The following is a 23,574-nucleotide window of genomic DNA, read 5'->3' on the forward strand; positions in this document are numbered from 1 at the left end:
ACACAGCTGGTACAGTTTGGAGTCAGTGATCAAAGTCATATAATCTGGCCTCAGAACTCTTCCCTTTGAACTCCTCTTTGTGTTTGTGTGTGCATGTGTGTGTGTGAGCAAGAGACAGGGGACTGTGGGAAAATACCTAGTAATAAAAGGTTACATACATGCATGCATAAATGCTCATAGCTTCATTGTTCACTACAGCCAAGAAATGGAAACACTCCAAATGTCTATCAACTAATGAACAGATAAACAAAATGTGGTATCTTCAGACAATGGTACACTAGAAGTAATAAACGAAAGAAAATTCAGATGCATGCTGTGTATAACATGTGCCTCAAAACACTATGGCAATGAGAGAAGCCAGACACAAAAGGCCATATATTGGGTGATTTCATTTACACAAAATGTCCAGAATCCTGGCTTTTATTACCTGTGTGATCTCAGACAAATTACCAAAGCTCTTTGTCCCTCTGTTTCATTATTTATAAAATGGATATCATTATACCTCACTCTTAATTGTGAGGATTAAGCTATATAATACATGGACCAGTGACTGGAACAGAGTAAATGCCCAACAAAGGACACAGTTATTAAGTGGCAGAGACGGTCCCAAAGCCAGAGTTGCTGTGGATATTAAATAATATATATCCATAATGCATCTTACAAATACAGCCTACACACCTTGCTGCCAGAGGACCTGGGTCTAGACATCAATGACATTATTCTTTGCTCTGTTGCTTTGGAAAAGTTACTCAGTCTCATCTGCCTTCACTGTAAAAAATGGTAATAATAAGTGTAGCTACCTCATAGTGCTACTATGAGAATTAAATTAACTGATAAATTAAAGTGCTTAGAACAGTGCCTGGAATGCAGTAAGCATCAACAATTGTTATCCATCATTATTACTATGGTTGTCAGTGACATTCAAGATGGGTTTCCCTATTCTCAGGAAATGCATGATCCAATTAGCCGGGTCCTGACACACAGTTGACAAAGCACGGACACTCACAGTATCAGTGCCTCTTTGTTGGATTAAAAACAGCATGCCCTCCACTGTCTGTCTCCCTCATGAGAAATGAGACTGCAAACTCCTCAAGGGCAGGATCGGTGTTTAATTTTTCCTGTACCCCTAGTGCCTGGCATAGTGTCTGGCTGCAAAAGAGCAAGGACCTATCAGAGTGAGTTTTTCAAGCAGACTGACTGAAGCGAAGCCTCTATTTTGCACACCAACCTCAAATCCACAGTTGCACATTGTTCAGGCTAATTTGCATCTCAGCATCTCAGAAAGCTCTCCATTTAGCTATTCAATTTGCTTCCTTGTCAACTAGAGATCACAACTTGCAAGAGAAAAGAGAGCTTTAGAAAATTGTGGCTTGCCTGCCAGCATCCATATTTAGATCAGCAGAACTTTTCGCTTTCCCCCTTCCATCTCCCTGGGAGTCAGGAAACTGGGTTCTGATTCTGTTCCTGATACTTCTTTGATGGGTGACCTTAAGTAAGTCCAAATCAAAAAATCGTCAGTGTTCAAAATGTCCTTACAGGGTGTGCTTGGACCTTGGTTTCCCCATCTGTCAAATATAAGGACAATTCCAAGGGTCCTTCCAAAGAGGTCCTACCAGAACACTCACTGCTTTAGGAATTTGTTGTTTACTGAGAGAACCTGCCCACTTTCCCCACTCTTGCCTTCAGTGAAAACATTTTTGGGGGATCTTAGTGATGGCTAAAGTGGAGACAACATCACAACCAAAGGATATAAAAGAAGAAATCTCTAAATTCCATCTCTTCCAAAGTCCAAGGACAGTCTCCATAGGGATGGCAAATGGATTTCAACCCCAAGGGGCCTCTTTGATGGAATGGGGGTAGTTACCTAGGACTCTGAATTCATTCGTGCATTCAGAAATATGCAGTGAGCGCCTACTTTGCGCGAGACACTCTTCTAGGATTTAGTGATGATGTAGTGAACAAAAAAGACACAAATCCACGTCCTTGAAGACCCTGTATACTAGCGGATGACAAATAATGAAAAAGATGAATGAAATATGTCATTTATTAGATAGCATTAAGTGTACAGCAGAAAAGCAGTAAAGCAGAAAATGAGGACATGAAATACGGGAGTGGGGAAGGAGAAGTAAAATTTACATGGGATAACCACAGAAGGCCCTGCAGGGAACGTCTCTTTAGAGCTGGGCTTCTCAACCTCAGCATCGCAAACATTTAGAGCTATCCAGGTCTTCACTGCGGGGTGTCCTGTGCCTTCTAGGGTGTTCAGCAGCATCTCTGCCCTCTGCCCACTAGAGGCCAATAACACCCCCTTCAGTTGTGACAACCAAAAATGTCTCCAGACATTGCCAGATGTCCTTGGGTCAGGCGGACAAAATTGTCCCAGTTTGAGCACCACTCATTTAGAATAAAATCCTGAAGAATGGGAGGGAGGGAGCCAGACAGGGATTTAGAAGGATTCTGTGCAGGCACTGGAAGTAGAGGGTGAACAGGAATAGCCTAGCCCCCTCCCACAGGCAACTGACATCAAATATCCTCTCGACGATGATCAAATTACACCTGGGATGAATGACGTGAGGGTGGAGCATACGGTGTTAGGGGAGAGGATGGGCACCCTCATGGTCTGGGAGGTGAGAAATGGTTTCCTGTTAGTGCAACATTTCAACCGAGAGCCGAGGCATGAGAGGATTTGGTCAGCCGACATGAGGAAACAGCAAGTACAACAGCCCTGAGATTGAAGAACTGTGATGCCTTTAAGGGACTGAAAGGAAGATGCTCATCCAGGCATTGGAAGCTGGCGGTGGGAGGCTGAAGATGAAGCTGGGGAAGCGCCAGGGCTTGAACCCCCATGCAGGACCTTGCAAAGCCAAACAAGATGTGGGTTCTTTTCCTACAAGCAATGGGATATCATAGAAAGGCTTTAAGCAGGCATGTGTCATGATCAATTTAGAGTTCTAGGTCCCTCCTGTGATGAGACCAAGTAATCTCCACTCCTTAATACCTGTGTGACTTTGAGTAAATTCCTTCTCTCTTCTGGCCTCGGTTTCCCCATCTGTAAAATGGGGACAGCAATCACATCTGCCTGGGTTTATTGTCAAGATCAAATGAGATCATATGTGCAGAGTGCTTAGAACAGGGCTGTGACACAGAGCATGATCAGTAACTCTGTTAGTCTTGATTCATAGCACTCTTAATAAACAAATATTAGCTATCACTTTCTTTTCTTTCTCTTGGAAGCTTACCAACGCCTGACTGGGATTTATTGCTGGTGTAGCTTTCCTTTTCAATCTTGTCCCTGCCCTGCCTTCCTCCCCCATCCCTCTCCACCTCAGGACAGTTCACACCGCTGCTCCCAGAGCCCTGCGTTTCTACTTCTATGACACTACCTGGTTGCCAGCTCTCAGCATACCTCAACTTTATATTCTCCATCAGTAGTCCTTATTGGGCACACATATTTGATCTGAAAACTGACGGCAAAGAGGCCTTCTCCATGCATGAATGCTTTAAGGTCTGACATCTGAATGTTAGCTCTCAGACTTGTCTTGGGAATGTCTCCAAGAACAATCAACTGTTCCCTTTGAGGACCATCAAACCACTCCTCATGCAACACACACACACAATCATACGCACACACGCATGCAAGACAAATATGCTGCTTCCTCATGAGCTATATCATGTCTACGAAACTCCTCTCTATATAAAACTTTCTGCATAATTCCCAGTCTGGTTCATTTCTACTAGTCAACACCTGCAGAGGCTCCCTGCCCGCCCTACCTTGTCCTCACCTTACCTCCCCACTACCACTGCCACCATCTCTCCGCTTATCACAACCACCATCAAGAGTGTTTGTGAGTTTGTGTTTTTATGTCTGTCTTCCCCCTCAGCCTTCAAGAAGACAAGGTCAGTGTTCATTTCTTGTTGTATCCTCATTATTTGGAGCAGAGTTTGATACACAGCAGAAGCCCAATTACTACCTGTTGATAGAAAAACAATATTAGCTCGCCATTTTGAAGTGTTTTCTCTCTCTCAGGCACATGACATGCATTATCCCATATGGTTTAATCATCACAATTATTTAAGGGTAGATAATGTTGTCATCATCTCCATTTTACAGATTGGGAACTGAGGCTAGAAAAGCTTAGCAACTTGCTCAAGATCACATAGACAAATATATAACAAAGTTAACCTAAGTTTCAATATCCTTGGATGTAAAGTTAGAGAACTGAACTAGCTCTGGTTTAAGGGCCCTTCCAGTTCTAATATTAGACCAAGAACATCTGATTCCCAGGCCAATGTTCTTTCATTCCTATCTCATTGTCTCCCTATAACTTAGAAAAGGACAATTTCGAGACAAATGCATTGTTTTCACAAACCTCACTTTACTTCTCTCTTGTGTTCTTTTGTTCTAGGAAACATGGGGGAATGAATGACTTAGCCTGGCCATAAAGCTGTTGGGGGCACTGAGCTGGAGGGGAGCCTCCGCAGAACTTGGCTTTGGGAGCCTGGGATTTGAACTTGTGCCACCACCACTGGCAGGACGCCTCACCGCTGCTCAGATGAGCAATGTTTATGCAATTTGCTTTCCCCCGCTAAGTGCACCACAGGATGTCTGATCTCCTTGAAATTGCCCTCATTTAAGAATCTGTCTTTTTTGAAGCAAAATGTCATCTAAAACCTTTTATGGCTTTATGAGAAACTAAGTGCGCTTTCGAAGCATGCATGGCCTGGGTCTGCCTGCAGATCTTTTCCATTCACACTTGGTATTCACTTCAGAACGAGACTAGGTGGCAAGTTAAGTGGCTCTGCTGTTAGCCCCACCTGCCACCTTGGCCAATGAGAAGACCTGAAACATACAACTCTGCCTCTTGGGAAGGAGTGGGAAGACACGAGGTGAGTAACCTGGAGAAAATGAAGGGCCATAGGAGACATGGCTGCGTCCTCATATATTTGAAGGACATTTTTTAAAAGAGACTAACGTTTAGGGCTGTCAAGTGGTAAACCAGCCCTAATGCTGAGTAGTCAAAGGAAATGGATGAATAGGGCAAGTTAGTTTTCCCCTTCCCCATGGTCAGTTCAGTTGACTGAATGCAGTGCTGCTGTCCAAGTGTTCCAGGCATCAGCTGGGTGCCCACTGGAGATGACATGCAAGGTCTCATCATTCTTAACTTGCTATTATAATTGCAAGTAGAAATATAATTTGAAATTATTTTTGACTTTTTTCATTTTCTTCTCCAAAATGCAAGATCTTCTTTCTTTTCTGTATTTGTTTTTTTGAAACTGTTAAAATGTGAAAATATGGCAGCATCTCTATTTGCTCTAACTGGGTTTATTTACTTACTTGTTCACTCATTTAACAACTTTCATCAAGTAGACTTCCCTGTCACACATGCTGGGAATAGAGTTTAGAAAAAAACCTTATGCAGCTCAAAATTTAGAGCAGGTGACAAACAATAAACACACAAGTGAATAAAACCAAAAAAATTATTACTAGTAAGAATTGGTATGAGGAAAATGGACTGAGACTACACAGAAGTGAGATGATTTCTAATTTTTTTTATTTTATTATTTTTTTGAGATGGAGTCTCACTCTGTCGCCCAGGCTGGAATGCAGTGGTGTGATCTCAGCTCACTGCAACCTCCGCCTCCCAGGTTCAAGCAATTCTCTGGCCTTAGCCTCCCCAGTAGCTGAGATTATAGGCGCCTGCCACCACACCCAGCTAATTTTTGTATTTTTGGTACTGATGGAGTTTCACCATGTTGGCCAGACTGGTCTTGAACTCCTGACCTCAAGTGATCCGGCTGCCTCAGCCTCCCAAAGTGATGGGATTTCAGGTGTGATCCACCGCACCTGGCCAAGATGATTCCTGTTAGATATAGGTGGCTCCACAAGGCCACCAGAGGAGGTAACATTAAGGTTACTTGAAGAATGCAAGCCAAGGAGACGCTGTATTTGTGTATCAGTGGAAATGACAGCCTTTCTCTCCAGATCCCAATCCAGTATTTTCTCTCAATTTTACAAGTTTATTCGCTCTGTGTTGGGTATTTCAATTTTTTTTTTTTTTGTACAACTCAAAAAACATTTCATGAACACACATTCCACGTGTCTCAAATTGGGCTAAATGCTTTATTACTTTTTAAAATTTAATGAGTACATTAACTAAATGGTAAGAATTGATGTCAGTGAGGCAATAGCTTCTTGGAAGGTTAAGCAATTTATCCACAGTGAGATGTCTAATAAAGTTTAGGGCTTAGACTTGGACTCCGGGCTGTTGGATTCTCATGTTTGTCATCTTTCCACTGAACCCCATGTTTTGAATCCTTCTGGGCATCTCTGGGGTTTAGGGTTGCCTGGAGGTGGCTAAGCACCTCTCTTTTAAATAGATTAATTGACTCTTTCCATGGTTCTGGTCCTCTATTTTGACTTCAGGGACTTTGGTTCCCATTACTAAGAAGAGCTAAGACTGTGGCCCAACTGTGATTTGGAGGGAAGCCTCAGAAGAATGAAACAGAATAGGGATGCCACAGATCAGAAGCCAGGCTGAGGCATAAGAGTGGGCAGCAAAGGATGTGGGGCTAGGATCTTAAGGGCCACACAGAAGTGAAGGCAGCTGTCATGCGCGGCAGTTTCTTTAGCTGCTCTGTTGTACTTGAGAATGAGTCTTCACAGAGTAACTCCAAGGAGGAGCACTTAACTGGGCATATGCTTTGGTGGGACACAGATCAGACTTTGAGTTAGAAAATAAAGTCAGAGCAGATGAGTACGAGCCCTCAGCTGAGGGAGTCTGGAGGACAGAAGGCACGAACAGTGAGGAGGATTACCAGCCAGCCACTAACCTACTTTGCTCCTCTTCCCCAAGTAGATGGAGTAGATCATGGGGAGAATTATGTGGGTCACTCCTCATACTCTGATGCACCCAAATGCTCAGTGGAGAGTCATACTAAATCCCTCAGAACACTGATGCTCATCAAAGTTAAGTATCTTTTTCAGAATAAGAGTAAGGTGTAGCCAACTGTGCTCGATTGAATGGTGTCACCTGCCCCCTCCCCTATAATTCATGTCTGCCTGGAATCTCGGAATGTGACCTAATTTGAAAATAGGGTCCTTGCAGATTAATAGGTTAAGATAAGGGTGGTTCCTAATTCAATGACTGGTGTCCTTAAAATAAGAAGCAGAGAGAGACCCCCAAGCCCACCATGTAAAGATGGAGGTAAAGGTTGGAGTGTCACATCTACAAGCCAAGGGGTGCCACCAAAATCCATGAGAAACACATGGGACAGATTCTTCCTCAAAGTTCTCAGAAGGAACCAAGGCTGCTGATTTCTAGACTCCAGAACTGCGAGAGAGTGAATTTCTGTTATTTTCAAGCCACCAGTGTGTGGTGACTTGTTAGGGCAGCCTAGGAAACAATTTGCCCACTTACTTAACTGTGAGGACCACTGAATTCCATACTATTCCAAACCGCAGGCCAGGTATCATTACCATGTCAAGCGCTGGCTAAGCCTTCGTACCATGACGTGCTCATCTCACATCAGGCCGCAATGCTGCTTCCTTCTCTTTCTCTCCATCTCCACTCTGAATTCCTTGTGGGCAGAAATCAGATCTAATTCACTGCTCTTTCTCCAGCTCCTGGAATATACTTGGCGCTCAACAAATGTTGAAAGAAGGAATGAATAAAATAAATACTTTTTTTTTTTTTTTTGAGACGGAGTCTTGCTCTGTCTCCCAGGCTGGAGTGCAGTGGCACGATCTTGGTTCACTAAAACCTCCACCTCCCAGGTTCAGGTGATTCTCCTGCCTCAGCCTCCCAGGTAGCTGGTATTACAGGTGTGTGCCACCACACCCAGCTAAGTTTTTGTATTTTTAGTAGAGACGGGGTTTCACCATATTAGCCACGATTGTCTCAATCTCCTGACCTTGTGATCCTCCTGCCTCGGCCTCCCAAAGTGTTGGCATTACAGGCGTGAGCCACCACGCCCAGCAAAATAAATACTTCTTGACCAACACAGTCTTTCCAAAGACTCACAAACCCCAAGCAAGTTAGCATTTTATTTATTCATTCTACTGATATTATTAAGTGCCTACTCTATGCTAGGAACTGTGCTAGGAGATGGGAACACAGTGATAAATAAGAAGACAAAATTCTGTTTTCTTGAACCTTGTTATCTAGAGGGGGAGTAGAGGAAGGGGGCAGATAAGTCCAGTAGACAAACATGTGGGTGTATTATTGGTGTAGATAACTTTAGACAATGAGAAGTACTTGAAAAAAAATAAAATAGAATAATACTTAGAGTAACTGGATTTACTTTAGTTAAATGGTGCTGGGAAAGACCTCTCTCTCTCCAGGAGATGACATTTGAGCTGAGACCCAAATAATAAGACTCATGTCTTCAAAGATGTGAAGAATTTGAGGCGTACAGGCAGCAGGACAGCTAGTGCCAAGACCCGAAGCATAAGTTAGTACAAAGTGCTTAGAAAACAGAAAGAAGGCTTATGAACGAGAAGCAGGGGCCTAGGGGTATGGGATGATGTCAGCAGGACAGATTGACCCTGCTTCATTGTCTGAGGCCGGAAGAGCTCCAAGTCATAGAAGAGTGATTTATACTTTACTGTTGCAAGGAACGTTGTTTACAATTAAAATTACAGTAGATGTTTATGGTCAGGAAGGGGGAGCCCCATGGATGGCCAAATCCTGCATAAGGAAGGATGCATGTTCTCACCAAGGCCCAAGAGAGCAAAGCCAGACCTTGCATTTTCTCCTCATTAAATCACAGAAGGCCTGAATGGCCACCCACGGAGGTTGTCCTCACTTGGTGCCATTCATGCCTGGCTCTTGCTTTGTTTAAAGCATCATTTTCTTTGCATTCTAGCAAAAAGACAAGGCAGAGCTGGCTTATGGAGATCATGTCTCTGGCTGATATTAGCCATCAGTGGTATAAGCCTTGCAGCTGTACTGTGTCCTGCAGTTTGGTGGCAGGGATATGAGAAGTAGACTCTTGTTACATGGTTGTTTTCTTTGCCCTTGGTTTTTTACATTTTCATTAAATCATAGATGTTCCTAATTGCTTCCTCATGGCCAAAGTGCCCCTTGATTGGAATTCTATGGAAAAGAGAGTTTGCATTATTAAATAGTGTTTCTAAAGGGATTTGAGTGGTTTTTGGTTTCCTTTTCCCCCCTTTTGCCTTTTTAAAAAAGTTTTTATTTTGTTGCAATGTATAATTGCTTGCTTTGTGCTAGAATTGCTCTCCAAGCTTCTACAATCATGTAGGAATTGTAATTCCCTTTATTACTGAAGAATCACTTTTAGCCTTCATTTAAGATGACTGGACAAGAATCAGATTATACAGAATTAGTATCTGTTTTGCATAGTGCATTGACCCTGCTGCCAGTGGTTCCCTTTGCTTGCTAACTTTTTGTGTGATTTTAAAAAGAATTTTTAAAGAATTTTTAAAATAATCAGCGTTTCATCTCATGTAAGCCTCATGGCACCCTGGGGCACATAGGCAAAAGTGATCCACATAGGAAACAAATTCTCCTCTTCAGAGAGGTGAACTGACTTGTCCAAGGACATCCATGCGGAGCTTGTCAGAGCTACAAGGCCAACCAAGCTCCTGGAAGTCCAAAGCCACTCTCTGCACCTCATTCTGCTTCTGTAGTAGGAACCTCTACACCTCTGTTTCCTCATCTGTAGACTGGGGCTGGTAATTCCACCTTGAAAATTTAGTATAAAAATTAAATAAGAATGTGCACATTTCCTTAGCAGGCAATAGGAAACACCATCTCTTCCCAGGGGCTCAGAGGCTGGTCCCAAGCATGAGAGTCTCTTGTGAAGAACCTCAGATATTTTTCCTCTTCCCCTCCATAAAGAGCAATGGTTCAGGACCTAGAAATAGCTTCAGAGGCAGAGGTGGCCAAAGCTGTGTGAACCAAGAATGCTGTGAATTTCCTTAAGTCTACCTCTGCTCACTTTATCAAGTCATCAAAGTCTAGAGTGGAATCCTTTATCTGGAGAAGAAAGTTCAAATTCCTCAGCATTCCATTCAGGCCTTTCTGGGGTCTAATCCTAGCCTGCCATGGTAGCCCACCACTCTCTCCTTCTTCCGCCTCCCAACAACTCTATCCTCTCTCCATTATATACCCTATGCACTCTGCATCTGGTTTTATTCTCCCTAAAAATAACCATAATGTCAGAAAACAATCGTTTCCTAGCTCACTGGTGCTCTGCTCCCTGGGTGTAGACTGTCGACACCCCTTTGCTCTGCCACCCTTAAATACCCTCCATTCTCCCACAGCACCTAGATTATTACAATGAGTGGGTGTTGCTCTATAATTGAAGAACAGTTTTTTTTTCATTGTTATTAATGGCATGCTTATAATAGTAAACGAAAGAAAAATAATATCAAGTTATTTATATAGGTATGTGTGTATGTACGTATATTTAATAATCCCAATTTTGTAAAAATAAATCCTTTTTCTTAAAAGCCTGGAAGAAATCCTCTGGGAAATTCTCTCGGTGACCCAAAGAACTAAACGTGACACAAAGAAAATGTCTGTCAGCATGATAAACATGCCTCCATCCAACAGTTTGGAACACCCCAGGCCACAATTGCATCCTAGCAGAGACTGAAGCAGGCACCAACCAATGCCAGCCTTTTCTCAATCACTTCCTGGGTCCAAGTTCAACTTCAGGCCAGTCTAGAACAAAGGAGGAAAGGGCCATATTCCCTGGGAGACGTGGTCATGCTCTGCTGAGAAACACAAGGCTTCATGGTGAGGACGGATGCATCACTGTAATGAGCAGTTGCAAGTGCCCATTCCGACTCCGTAAACAGGCCAAAATGTAATGTGGCAGCATCGCCTACCGTGGCTGCAATGGCCGGGCAGCAGCCGCATCGGGTGAAAGCAGAGAAAACAATGTTCTGTAATGTTTCTGTGATAATAAGCTCTAGTCAAGCATGAGAAGTGGTTCCTGAGAAATGCATGGCAGATAGACAGGGTGGCATGGACAACATATTTGCTGGCTGGCTGGCAGGCTCACACTCCTAAGTCTGCCTGCTCCCCTCGACCCACATCCACACCAATCAGAGAATCACCTAGCCTTCCTACTTAGAAGGCTTATCTTCTCTACCACTTCTCAAGAAATTCACATTTCAGGGTCCGTTCCTGGAATCACATTAGGTATTTTTGCTTATCCAGAAAGGTTAAAAACTCTTATGACCCTCAAACCAGCTTCATTTTCCTCCTTAAGTTTTGAAAGCAAAACTCAAGAGACTCTCCCCAAAATGAATTATGCAGAAGATACGATGAGATGAGACTCTGCCTGCTGCTAAGGGACTCGCCTTAGAAAAATGTAATCAGATATTCATTTCCTGATATTAACAACCACTAAAAGGGAGCTCTGATTTCTGGAACAAATACCTTAAGAAGAAAGTTTAAACATATATATTTTAATTGAATTTCTTCTCAGCCAGAATGTAACTGACAGAATCCTATATCCACCATGATCCACAGGCTCTGTAACTCATAAGTCAGCCGATCTACCAGTAAGACTTTTCTAGGTTCTTAATCCTCTTATCAACCACTCAAGTTTCCAGGGAGACTCATTAGCAGAGCTGGCAAATGCTGTAGTCGGCATCGTTATCAACCACAAAACTTTTGAGCATCTGCTGTCTGTTTATTTGTTTATTGTCTGTCTCATTTCAACTAGAATGTGAACTCAAGGAAGCAGAAGATTTCAGCTGTTGTGCTCACTGCTGCAGCCCTGTGCCTAGAACTCTGCCTGGCACTTTGGGATCTCCCAGTACATCTTTACTAACTGTGACTCTCTTGTGTACTGAGAAACTGGAGCCTGGGAATGCAAACTGGTCCTACCCTGCATAGTTTTTCAGTTTTCCTGTATCTGAATGGATACACACACATAAACACATATTCAAACAGAGAAACTAGCAAGAGTATATTCTAAGAGTCACATAGTTGGCACAGACATTAGGGGCTAGGAAAGGGAGTGGGATTGGGCTACCAGGGTCCCCTTATTGTTTTCTCTTTTGCCAACCTCTCAGTGTCAATATAAGAGACTTAGAACAACTGAGAGCTCTTCAAATGCCTAAACATTATTGTTTGGGGAAAAATACATATGCCTTGTCAGAAACCAGAGGCACCTGTCTCTCTTCCCTCACCAAACCAGGCCCTAAGCCCTGCACACTCTATTCCCGAATCTTTTGTGAACCCTACCACCGGTGGAGTTAGACACAGTACACCTTTCTTCTGGCCTCCTCAGGGTCCCTATCCCATCTGTGAGATGATTTCCATCTCCCCTGAAGTTTTAGGGTGCTGGAAGGGGGAACCTATTGTTGATATCTAAATAAAGTCAGTCACAAAATGGAAATAAAAAGCTTCCCTCTAAAATAGTTTGAGAGGTTTTTTTGTTTTGTTTTGTTTTTTTGGCTGCAAAAGAGGGAAAAAGTAGCAGGTGCTGAAGAGGCATTTATTTAGGTGTTCCCTTTTCCACTCAATAAACACGTATTGAACAGCTATGCTGTGTCAAAGATTATGCTACCAGTTGAGGATCTATAGAGAACCATCAAGATGCAATCCTGCCTCAAAAAGTCTACAGCCTATGGAGGAATGCCAATAATAAATAGGTAACAAAAATAGGGTGCAATTCACTGGGCACGGTGGCTCACTCCTGTAATCCCAGCATTTTGGGAGGCCAAGGTGGGCATATCACCCGAGGTCAGGAGTTCGAGACCAGCCTGGTCAACATGGTGAAACTTCATCTCTACTAAAAATACAAAAAATTCGCCAGGCGTGGTGGCATGCGCCTGTAATCCCAGCTACTCGGGAGGCTGAGGCAAGAGAATCACTTGAACCCAGGAGGCTACGGTTGCAGTGAGCTGTGATCACGCCACTGCACTCCAGTCTGGGTGACTGAGTGAAACTCCATCTCAGAAAAAAAAGAGTGGGGGTGCAACAAGATGAACTATAAGCAAAACATAGGGTGTTACAACAGCATATTAGGGGGCAAAACTTCCTTCAAACCCCAGTTCTACCACTTAGAAGGCATATGGTGCACTTCCTATTGATTTTGTTACTCAGAAAGTGGGAACACTTTTTAGTGTCTTGTAGGACTGCCCTAAGGATTTGGCAGGATTTCATAGCTAGTGAGTTTAACAAAGCACATGGACACTGCAGACACTCAAAATATTGTAAATATTGTTACTAGAAAGGGAAGTCAGGACCCAAATTCAGATTTGCTTCCCACTACTTAAGAATAAATGAAACCAAGTTTGGGGTACATGTGCCTGACCACTCTCTTTCTTCCTATAGGAATAAATGAAACCAAGCTTGGGGTGCATGTGCCTGGCCACTCTCTTTCTTCCTGGCTGCAGAAGTCGATCCTCCCCCCCCTCTCTGCCAGATGGGCATTCCCTGTATAGTGCTGAGGGCTGGGCATTGGGCTGCGAGTTGGCGATCAAGATATCTGGCTTTAAGAAAATCCCAAGAGCTTTCTCAATAGCCTTTCACCTACGGCAAGAGTAGCTAAGAAGCTCCAGACCATTCTATTAACAGGAGCCTCCGCTCTCCACAGGGCAAGGTATGCTTTGCTCACTGCCAGTGCCGGATGCCAAGGGGTGGCTCAAGAGGGACTTTGGGGGTGGTGATGGGAAGGGGATGCCCTGTGTCATCTGCATCAAGCTTCCCCACCTCAAGCAACCCTTGGCAACATAAAATTGAAGTGAAAAGAAAATACTTGCTATGCTGATTCTTCAAATGCTAATCCCTCCTGTTCCTGGGAGAGTAATGGGGTAGAATCCATTCAAGTGTCTGAGCGAAACCAAGAGAAACTGAGAGACACTTTAGATCCCAGACTGGTCTTCTAAAAGGTGTGGGCCCCAAGCCATCCCAACCCCTATGGGGATGCCCTGGACCAGCTTCTGCCCTCTGCAGTGATTCTAATACTCAGCACAGTACCCAGCATGATAGCAGAAGGGTGAGCACTGGTAGATGAAAAAACAAACTAACCAATGAATGAATGAAGACAAGAAGGAAGGTAGGAAAGAAGTGAGTTTGGTTTTGGAACTGCCTTGCGTCGAATGACATTAATAGTGAGCCCCAAGAACAGGCAACTTTATAAGATGGGTGTTACCCTGCCTCCTTATACTCCTGGAAGCAAAAGGGTACTACTGTGCAATTAACTCCTTCCTGTCCAGCCTACTGGGGAAGCCAGCAGCCCACTGCAGCAGGGCCATTACACTTACAGTAGGGGCTCCCCAAAGCCCCCAGACCGGATTTCATTTTGGAATGCATGCTATGGGGTTTTTTTTTCTGCTGCTCTAGCAGCAGCAGTAGCAGCAGATTTACTCTCCTAATTATGTTTGGCTTTGGTTAAATTAGTTTGCATTCCCTGAGCACACACTGGTTGGGGGAGGGGGAGCAGGCAGCGGAAAGAGGTGGCCTGAGAAGATGCCAGGAGGTGGAGAGAATCTACTGGAAGGATGATGCATATGGCAGAGCCATCAGACACCAGGCAGATGCTGGAGAGCTACTCCACAGTGATCCACGGACCCAAGTGGGAGAGAGAAAATGGGGTTCTGCCTAAAGTGTCTACTCATTCATTCATTTCCATGACAAATATTTATCAAAGGCCTACGATGAGTCAGATGTTGAACTAGGAGATGGAGGAAAATGCAGTGAACCAGACAAACAAGGTTCCCTGACCTCATGAACCTACATTCTAGAAGGAGAGTGAGAGAAGAAACAAAGAAAGAAGCTCAAACTTTGGATGCTCTGAAACCAATGTAACGAGTAAAGTGAACGGGACCATCTAGAGGAAGTTTGTGATTTAGTTTTTCATTGGCAGTTGTAGCTGCAAACAACAATAATGAAAATAACACAACTACCATTTGTCCATTTACTCACTGCTTACTATGTTCCAGACACTCACCGAATATTTCATTTAATCTTTCTTAAAACCCTATATGGCCAGGTGCAGTGGCTCATGCCTGTAATCCCAGCACTTTCGGAGGCCAAGGCGAGCAGATCACTTAAGGTCAGGAGTTTGAGACCATCCTGGCCAATATGGTGAAACCCCATCTGTACTAAAAAATACAAAAAATTAGCTGGGTGTGATGGCATACGCCTGTAGTCCCAGCTACTCGAGAGGCTGAGGCAGGAGAATCACTTGAACCTGGGAGGTGGAGGTTGCACGTAGCAGAGATAGCGCCACTGCACTCTAGCCTGGGTGACACAGCAAGACTCCACCTCAAAACAAAAACAAACAAACAAAAACCCTATGAGATGGGTGTGGTTATCCCCATTCTATAGACAAGAAAGTCAAGGCTCAGAGAGTTTTAGTTATCTGCTCAAGGACACACAGTAGGTGACTTTTAATGCCATGTTGTCCCTGTATACCCTTTTGAAAGGTCTACAATGAATAACAGTAGCCAGTGATTAAAGCACCCACTAAATACCAGACACTGAGTGCTTATAGGAAGGAAGTCTTTCCTGACAGCATTTACTAGTTGCATTTTACAAATCGAGACTCCAAGAGGCTGATGAGTTTAGCCAGCATGGCAAAACTCTTAAGGCAGGAAGGCAGGATTCAAACTCAGGTCTGCATGCCCTCAAAGTTTTGTTTCTACCCCAGAACATAATACGGTCATGCACCATATAAGGACATTTCAGTCAACAACAGACTGCCTATGTGACAGTGGTCCTATAAGGTTCTATTGAAGCAAATATAGAAACCTGATACATGGCACTAGATATCAGCAATGCAGCATGAGTAGAGGAAATGATTGATATTCAGTAATAGTGCTGGAACATTTGGTTTTCCATAGGAAAAAAATATATAAATAAAAATGTACATACCACCTAGGTTTGTGTACGTACACTCCATGACGTTTGCATAACAACAAGATCACCTAAGGATGCGTTTTTCAGAACGTATCCTTGTCGTTAAGCAATGCATGACCATTCAAAGCAGTCTGACGGAGCTAACATATTATTTCCTCGATAACCGGGATGAAAGTGTCAGATGTTTGAAAATCCTGGAGTTACAGCACAGGAAATGTGAGTCATCTGAGATTTCCAGTTCTTCTTCCAGGTAACCCAGAGTTAAGTTTAATGCTCTTGCAAAAAGTTACTTTCAGGTATGAACCAGAAAGAAAAAAAAATTGCCTAAAACCCAAAGCAATGTGTGAAACTGTTAAATTGTGGTATCCTGAGTAGAGACTTCAGTAGGCAATCCAGGACTTAGGCTGTGTGGATGAGAGCTATACATACAGGCACACCAGGCCCTTTCTTCACACCCTTTTTGCTCAGCAACTTCTATTTTCTAGAAAAGCCCAACTGCCTGGCTCAGAAAATCTACTTACATAACTACTTGTCATTATCAACTACCAGGTTAGCTTTCTCTACTGATGCCCAAGCCAACATCTCACACTCCTGCAACAGCTAAGAGCATTTTAGGATTTCCATGACAAAGCCTGTTCTTTGTGCTTTAATGCTTTGCTTAGTTTTCATATTTGTTGTGAACTCAAACCTAAAAGGGGATTGTCAAATCAGGCTTACAAAACCAAAACAACAACAACAACAACAACAAAAACGGCTGGGCGGGGTGACTCACACCTGTAATCCCAGCACTTTGAGAGGCCAAGGTGGGTGGATCATGAGGTCAGGAGTTCGAGACCAGCCTGGCCAACATGGTGAAACCCCGACTCTACTAAAAATACAAATATTAGCTGGGCATGGTCGTGAGCACCTGTAATCCCAGCTACTCGGGAGGCTGAGGCAGGAGAATTGCTTGAACGGGGGAGGCGGAGGTTGCAGTGAGCTGAGGTCATGCCTCAGCACTCCAGCCCGGGCAACAGAGCGAGACTCTGGCTCAGAAAAAAAAAAAAAAAAGAAAGACAGCCATTACAAATAGAAGCAGCTGCTTTTGATTTACAAACACTGTAATCTTCCCCAGGCTTTAGATATTTTTTTTGACAACATCCAGATCAGAACCAATTTAATTTTGAAAGATAGCTAATCAGGTAATTTGCTGTAGTACCTCTCTTGTTTTTGATTTTGTAAAGGAGGCTGGGAGGCTTGCACGAAGAAACCAGCACTTTATTGAAGATTACGAATTGACCCTTCAGGTATCATAAAATGTTTACCTATAATCTCCAGAAACAAGATAACTTCTGTACATTCATTTCAGCAACTTGAGCACTTCAGAGAGCTGTGTGAAATGGTGGTACCTATTTACATGGGGAAAGCTTGAAGCTCCAAACATTTTTTTATTATGTGATACTTCCTGATCCCCTTAATGTTTTTAGTGACTTACGTAGATAAACTCTCAATTTTGAAGGAGAGGAGTTGAACAGTCTCATAATCTTGATTTTGCAGTGTTTTATACTTCCAATACCCTAACATGTACACACTTGATGAGAAACAAAATGGGTGTGGATTTGAGGATTTCACATATTGTGAGATCATTAGTGTTAACCTAAGTTTTTTATCCACTAAACTTTGTTGAGCACTTACTGTGTAATAGGAATATGAGCTCTCTATCCTTAGATTCATATTTTAGTCTGGACAACAGGGCGACCCATGAAATGTTACTTTCTGAATACTTATATTCTTACTGTGTGCCAGACTGTGTTTAAAGTGTTTTACAAATATTCAATCCTCATGACAAGCCTATAAGATAGATACTGATTTGTCTCTTTAATTACCTGTGCTTTAAATTTGATCTGACTTCAGTCTCAGCCATGAGATTTTATTTCTCTCACCATGTAATTGTATCACACAGGATAGTTTTTTAAGACCTATTTCACCTTCTAATGTAGATGAAAGTGTCACAGAGTTGATACCTGTTGCTGTCTGCTAAGTCCTCCTCTCCACAACCAATTATCTAACTGCTCCTTCTGAGCAACTTCTCTTCCTTTTCGAAAGATGCATCATGGTTATGGGGAGAGCAAAGAGCCCATAGACATTACCCTGCCAATCTGGACAGATAAATGTGAAAAGCTGCCATTCCTCCCAGTTATCCATGTCCCTGGCCTCTCCTCGGCTCCTGTCTGCAGTTAAACAGTCCTTTTTGCTCAGTGACTTACAGGCAGGAATTATGAAAATTCTTACAGGAAGCTTTAACAAGAGGAAGGAGGAAGGAACATCATGATACATTTTATAAAGGCACTTTTCAAAATGTTTTCAGCATACTGTTGTAGAAATAAACATCAATTTGGGGGTTCAAATCCCAGCTCTGCTCCATTCTTGCTGTGTGATGTTGAGCAAGTTCAACAATCCCAAGCCCTCTTCAAACCCAAAAGAAAAGGAGCAGGGCCCCAAAGAAATGGACCCCCTTGGTTGGAGTATATTGTACAGGATTTCAGGTTATATAAGTAGAGGTTGAAGGTGGCTATTTTCTTTGTACAGCTTAAACGTTTGATTTTCCAAATCAGGAAACTTCATTTCTAAGTGTGCTAAATAGAATCTATAGGCTTCCTTCAGCTGACAAAAGGGAAGCAGCTGAAAATTGGTATACGCGTTGCCTTTAATTCAAGCTTTTGTGCCCTTTTTTTGGTCCTTATCGTTTAGGAGATTATATGCAGCTCCTGACCCCCAGGGAGAGAACAGCATCAAAGCACCCTCTAACCAGGGCAGAATGAGGCTGGTGACCTGAATTTTCTGGCTTCTGTGGGTTTATGTCTAATCTCCAGTGTTCCTTCAGGTGGTATTTTGTGCTTAATTATACTTAAAGGTTTGGAGGGTTCCATAGGTGGAATTCCATCTGAAGCCCAAACCGTCAAACCATCAGCTCCCAGGTTGCCATTTGAAGCTTCTTATTTTTAATCGTGCAGGTCTTTACCCAAGATGTGTTTTTTCTCATGTTAAAGGGTTTTTGTCTTTTAAGCAGCCATTTATACATACAAAAAGCAGTGTTTTGTTCAGGAATAAAATCACCTGAATAAATCTAAATCTGTCATGTAAATATTTCACCAATTATTACTAAGGGCTTTTTAATGATTCCTCTTTGTAACCTCTCCCTGCAGTCTAAGTCACTCCACTGGGGTAGGAAATATAAAACCCAAAATGTATTTGGAGCACAGCTGTATAGAACATCAATCTGAACCATGATGTGGTAAGAACCATAAGTGAACATGAAAGTTAAGAGGGACCAGAATGTAATGAGACAGGCAGGCTCTATCCCCATTTTACAGATATTGAAACTGAGGCCTTGGAAAACTACATGGGGTTATTGGTGCAATTAAAGCACTTATCTGGGACCTGCAGCTCCTTTCCTACCCCTCTCGGTAATGTCTTAGATTTACCAGCTAAAGGTCATTAAGCCATACTGCCTCTTTCAGTTAGTATTACATATTCAAAATCTGTTTGCATCCTTCCAGGGGAAGGGCCGTGCCCAAAGGGGACAGCACTGCTCTCTCTTATCAAAACAGGGCCTTCTTGGAGCTTACTAACGACCTTAAAGCCCACAACAAGCAGCTCAAATATATGGGTTAGGCAGCATGGGGCTGACACCCTGGGGCAGAGCTGAGATGATTTGGTTTACACCCCCTAAAATGCCAGGCTATATTCTATATCCTGAAGGTGCCTTAGTTGACAGGAGGTGGAAGTCAGGGGGTATCTTGGCTAAGGGAACAGGTGGCTAAAAGAAACCATGTAATGATATTAGGATGACCACCTCAAGATGACTGCAGCTCCTCCTCAGCTATCACTGTACCTTCAATCTGTGCAACAGATCTCTATGAAAAATGCACGTCTCATCTTCTTATACCTTCCCTGTCCTTGCTTTCATGATGCAGGCCAAGGGTTCTGAGTTCCAGAGTGGATGACCTAGGCTGGAGCTCTGGCTTTGTTATTGAGCTGTGTGACTTTGGGTCTGTTACTCACCTTCTCTGTACCTCAATCTCTTCATTTTTCAAATGTAAATAATAGAAGTATTTATCCCATGGGGTTAATAGCATCAATAATAAATTGATACATTTAAAGAGCATAACACACTAAATATTCAATGATGTTACCTATTATTAGGTTGATGCTTATGAACACTCAACCATTTGTTGTTTACATAAATGACAATTTTGGATGGGGTTCAACCTATTATTAAAGTTCTCAGCCTTACTGAAGCTTCATCTTTCCTTTTTGATTTAACTTAAGCATCACCTGCTCCTGGAAGCCTTTCCTGATGTTCAGTCTGAGTTCATTCCCACATACAATCATGTGTTCATTTACTCAACCTGACAGTATTGAGCACTCATGGCCACGTGCCAGGCAGTGGAAATTAAACAGTGAGCGAAAATCCAGGCAGGAAAGACACAACCTAGTAGACAATCAATAGAATCAGTGCCTCTCTAGGCCAGTAGAGGGCGCTAGGAGCGGGGAAGACATGCTTGAAAATAGGATCTCGATGGAGAGCCTGAGTTGAGGACAGGGAAATCTTCCCGGAGCACATAACCTTTACCCAAGACTGGCAGAAAGAGTAGGAATTGGTCAGATGAAGAGGAGAAGATTCTTCCAGAAACACCTGGACCTTGCTGTGAAGAGAGAGCCTGGGGAAGAGAAGCATGTCAGATGTGGCTGCAGAAAGAGAGCCTGTGGTGGAGACGGCAGTTAAAGAGTCCATATTACAGAGACCCAATCATAAAAGGCCTTGTAAGTCACCAAAAGAAATCTGGGCACAATCTAAGGATGCGCTCACTGCCAGGAACGTGCAAGTGCAAGGTTGCATCTGAGCAAGCCCTTCCTAACATTTGTCCTGAGGTGTCTTGCTGGTCTCCCTCTAGTCCTAGTCCTGCTGGGCTTTATCTTGAGGTCAACAGGAAACCCTTGAAGGGTTTCCAAAGGAGAGAGATACTTCCTTAACAGCATTTGAGGTGGTTCACTCTAGCTCACCTTGGGTAATGCACCAGAGAGAGGAAAGAGGAAGGCAGAAAGACAGGCAGTTATTCAGGCATGAACAATACCATGAATGGAGGCCTTTATCTCCAGCAAATCACTTATGACACTGATCTGTAATTTGTTTGTCTTTCACTAGACTCCGAATCCCTTGAGAATGAGGACTCAGGAGTCTCCCCCACCACCTTAACCTGTAGGACCAGTACATAATAGATAGTCGCTAAACGGTACCTATTATAATTGTAGCTACTGTTACTAATACTTTCTATTGTTAAAATTGAGATAGACAAATGCTATTGCTATAGTCCCACTTAGCAAATTGGATCCCATGGAATATTAACCTTCTGAGGTGTGTTAACCAATGTTTGGGGTACTGAGAGGGAAGGAGGTCCCCGAAGTCAAAGAAATTTGGGAAACATTTGCTTATAAACATTAAATGAGCCGGCGCGGTGGTTCACGCCTATAATCCCAGCACTTTGGGAGGCTGAGGTGGGCAGATCTCTTGAGTCCAGGAGTGTGAGACCAGTCTGGGCAACATGGTGAAATCCCATCTCTACAAAAAAAAAATTAGCCCGTCATGGTGGTGTCGTGTGGTCCTAGCTACTGGGGAGGTTAAGGTGGGAGGATTCCTTGGGCCAAGAAGACGAAGGTTGCAGTGAGCCAAGATCGTGCCCCTGCACTCCAGCCTGGGCAACAAAGTGAGCACTCTGTCTCAAACAAAACAAAACAAAACATTAAATGGCATTAGTATACACACATATGTTTCTAAACTCTCACTGCTGAGAGAGTCTGAAAGCAACAACACCTCAGTAGCAATGAGTGACCAAAAGTGGAAAAATTTGAATAACAAGATAAATAACATAGTACTGGATTATAACTCAATGTACAATACTGACATCCATGAATCCATGCTGATATACATACATGGTTGAATAAATAAATGGAAGAGATGAGACACATTTCCCATGCAGAAGAATCACAAGTGATTTATGTAGACACCCCCCTTGCAAGGAGATGGAGCCTCCCTACCCCTTAAGCTTGGGCTTGGGCTTAGTGACTTCCTTCCAAAGAGTATGGTAAGGAAACATGAAAAAAGAGTAATCATGTGGTGGAGAAACCTGACAAATACTAAGTCAGCCAGGTGATCAAGCTTAACATCGTCACTAATAAGCCATGTTGGTAACATGTGCCTTTCATAGGATGTGATGAGAATGGCACTGTACTTTGGTAGTCTTTGTCCCCAAAACCCATCACCCCTGTCTAATCATGAGAAGAACAGCAGACACGCCCAAAGGGAGGGACATTCTGCCAAATACCTAACCAGCACTTCTTAAAACATTCATGGTTAACAAACATAAGAAAAGTCTGAGAAATTGTTCCAAGCAAAAAGACCCTATAGAGACATGATGACCAAATGCAACGTGGTATTGTGCAGGGAAGCCTGAAAATATTATGAAAAAACTGAAGAAATCTGAATAAAGTGTGGAGTTTAGCTAATAATACAGTGGTTCCTTGGTATATGCAGAGAATTGGTTTCAGGACCCCTGCATTGACCAAAATCCTCAAGTCCTGCAGTCAACCCTGAGGAACCACATAGACGAAAAGGTCAGCCCGCCCTGTATGAGGGCTTTTCATCTCACACATGCGTATTTTTGATCCGCCTTTGGCTGAAAAAAATGCAGGTGTAAGTAAACCCATGCAGTTCAAACCCATTGTTCAAGGGTCAACTGTAATGTATTAATATTGGTTCATTAGTTTTGACAAACTAAGGATCATACTAAGATCAGACTAAGATCATACTAACGTAAGATCTTGACAGCTGGGGAAAATGGGCACAGCATACATGAGAATTCTCTCTACCGTCATTGCAATTCTTATGTAAATCTAAAAGCATTCTAAAGTAAAAAGTCTACTTAAAAAAAATAAATGATGTCTTTACTATCTGACTTCTCAAATGCTTTAATATGCTGAGACATTTTGAGTATTCCCAAATTAATATGACTAAAGAACTGAATAGCTGTTACATTCTCGGGTCCTAGGGTTCTCTAGAATAGTTAGGAATGATAATAATAATAGCTAACATTTATTAGAGAGGCTCTGAGCTTCGTGGTTAATAACTTTATCCCGTGAGCCAGACTCCCTGCTCACCTATGACCATCACTACTTAAGAGCTGTATAATCAAGGCTGGGCATGGTGGCTCTCCCCTGTAATCCCAGCATTTTAGGAGGCCGAGGTGAGCGGATCACAAGGTCAGGAGTTTGAGACCAGCCTGGCCAACATGGTGAAACCCTGTCTCTACTAAAAATACAAAAATTAGCCAGGCATGGTGACATCCACCTGTAGCCCCAGCTACTTGGGAGGCTGAGGCAGGAGAATTGCTTGAATCCAGAAGGCAGAGGTTGCAGTGAGCCAAGATCATGCCACTGCACTCCAGCCTGGGCGACAGAGCAAGACTCTGTCTCGAAAAAAAAAAAAAAAAAAGCTGTATAATCTTAGGCAAATTATTTTATTTAATTGTGCTTTGGTTTCCTTAGCTGAAAAATGGGATTAATGATGCCACTTAGTTCACAGGGTTATTGTGAGAATTCAATGTGTTTATATAAATGAATATTCCTCAATCTATATGACCCTCAAAATGACTTTTTGAGGGCTTTCCATGTGTCCTTTCTCTGC

General features: G+C 42.9%; 1 protein-coding gene across 22 annotated transcripts in view, besides 1 other annotated feature; it reads right to left on the reverse strand.

Moving 5' to 3' along the window:
• The window catches only part of LDB2 (LIM domain binding 2), a 397,105-nt gene that overhangs the window by 273,131 nt on the left and 100,400 nt on the right, over window positions 1-23,574 (reverse strand). The window contains exon 1 of one of the 22 annotated variants that reach the window (XM_017008818.2): window positions 3,788-4,252. The exons of 20 other annotated variants lie outside the window; for them this stretch is intronic. The gene's annotated coding sequence lies outside the window, so the exon portion shown is untranslated. Of the gene's footprint in view, window positions 1-3,787; window positions 4,253-23,574 lie in introns of those variants that run through there. One more of the 22 variants, XM_047416391.1, reaches the window with a different exon arrangement.
• Window positions 1,032-1,599: an enhancer, noted in NCBI's record as "OCT4-NANOG hESC enhancer chr4:16777326-16777893 (GRCh37/hg19 assembly coordinates)". NCBI's record gives its function as "activates a minimal SCP1, AML or CMV promoter by ChIP-STARR-seq in primed H9 embryonic stem cells {active_cell/tissue: H9 hESC(primed)}" and the evidence as "EXISTENCE:reporter gene assay evidence [ECO:0000049][PMID:30033119]".

Source organism: Homo sapiens, chromosome 4 (assembly GCF_000001405.40).
Source record: "Homo sapiens chromosome 4, GRCh38.p14 Primary Assembly".
Taxonomy (NCBI): domain Eukaryota; kingdom Metazoa; phylum Chordata; class Mammalia; order Primates; family Hominidae; genus Homo; species Homo sapiens.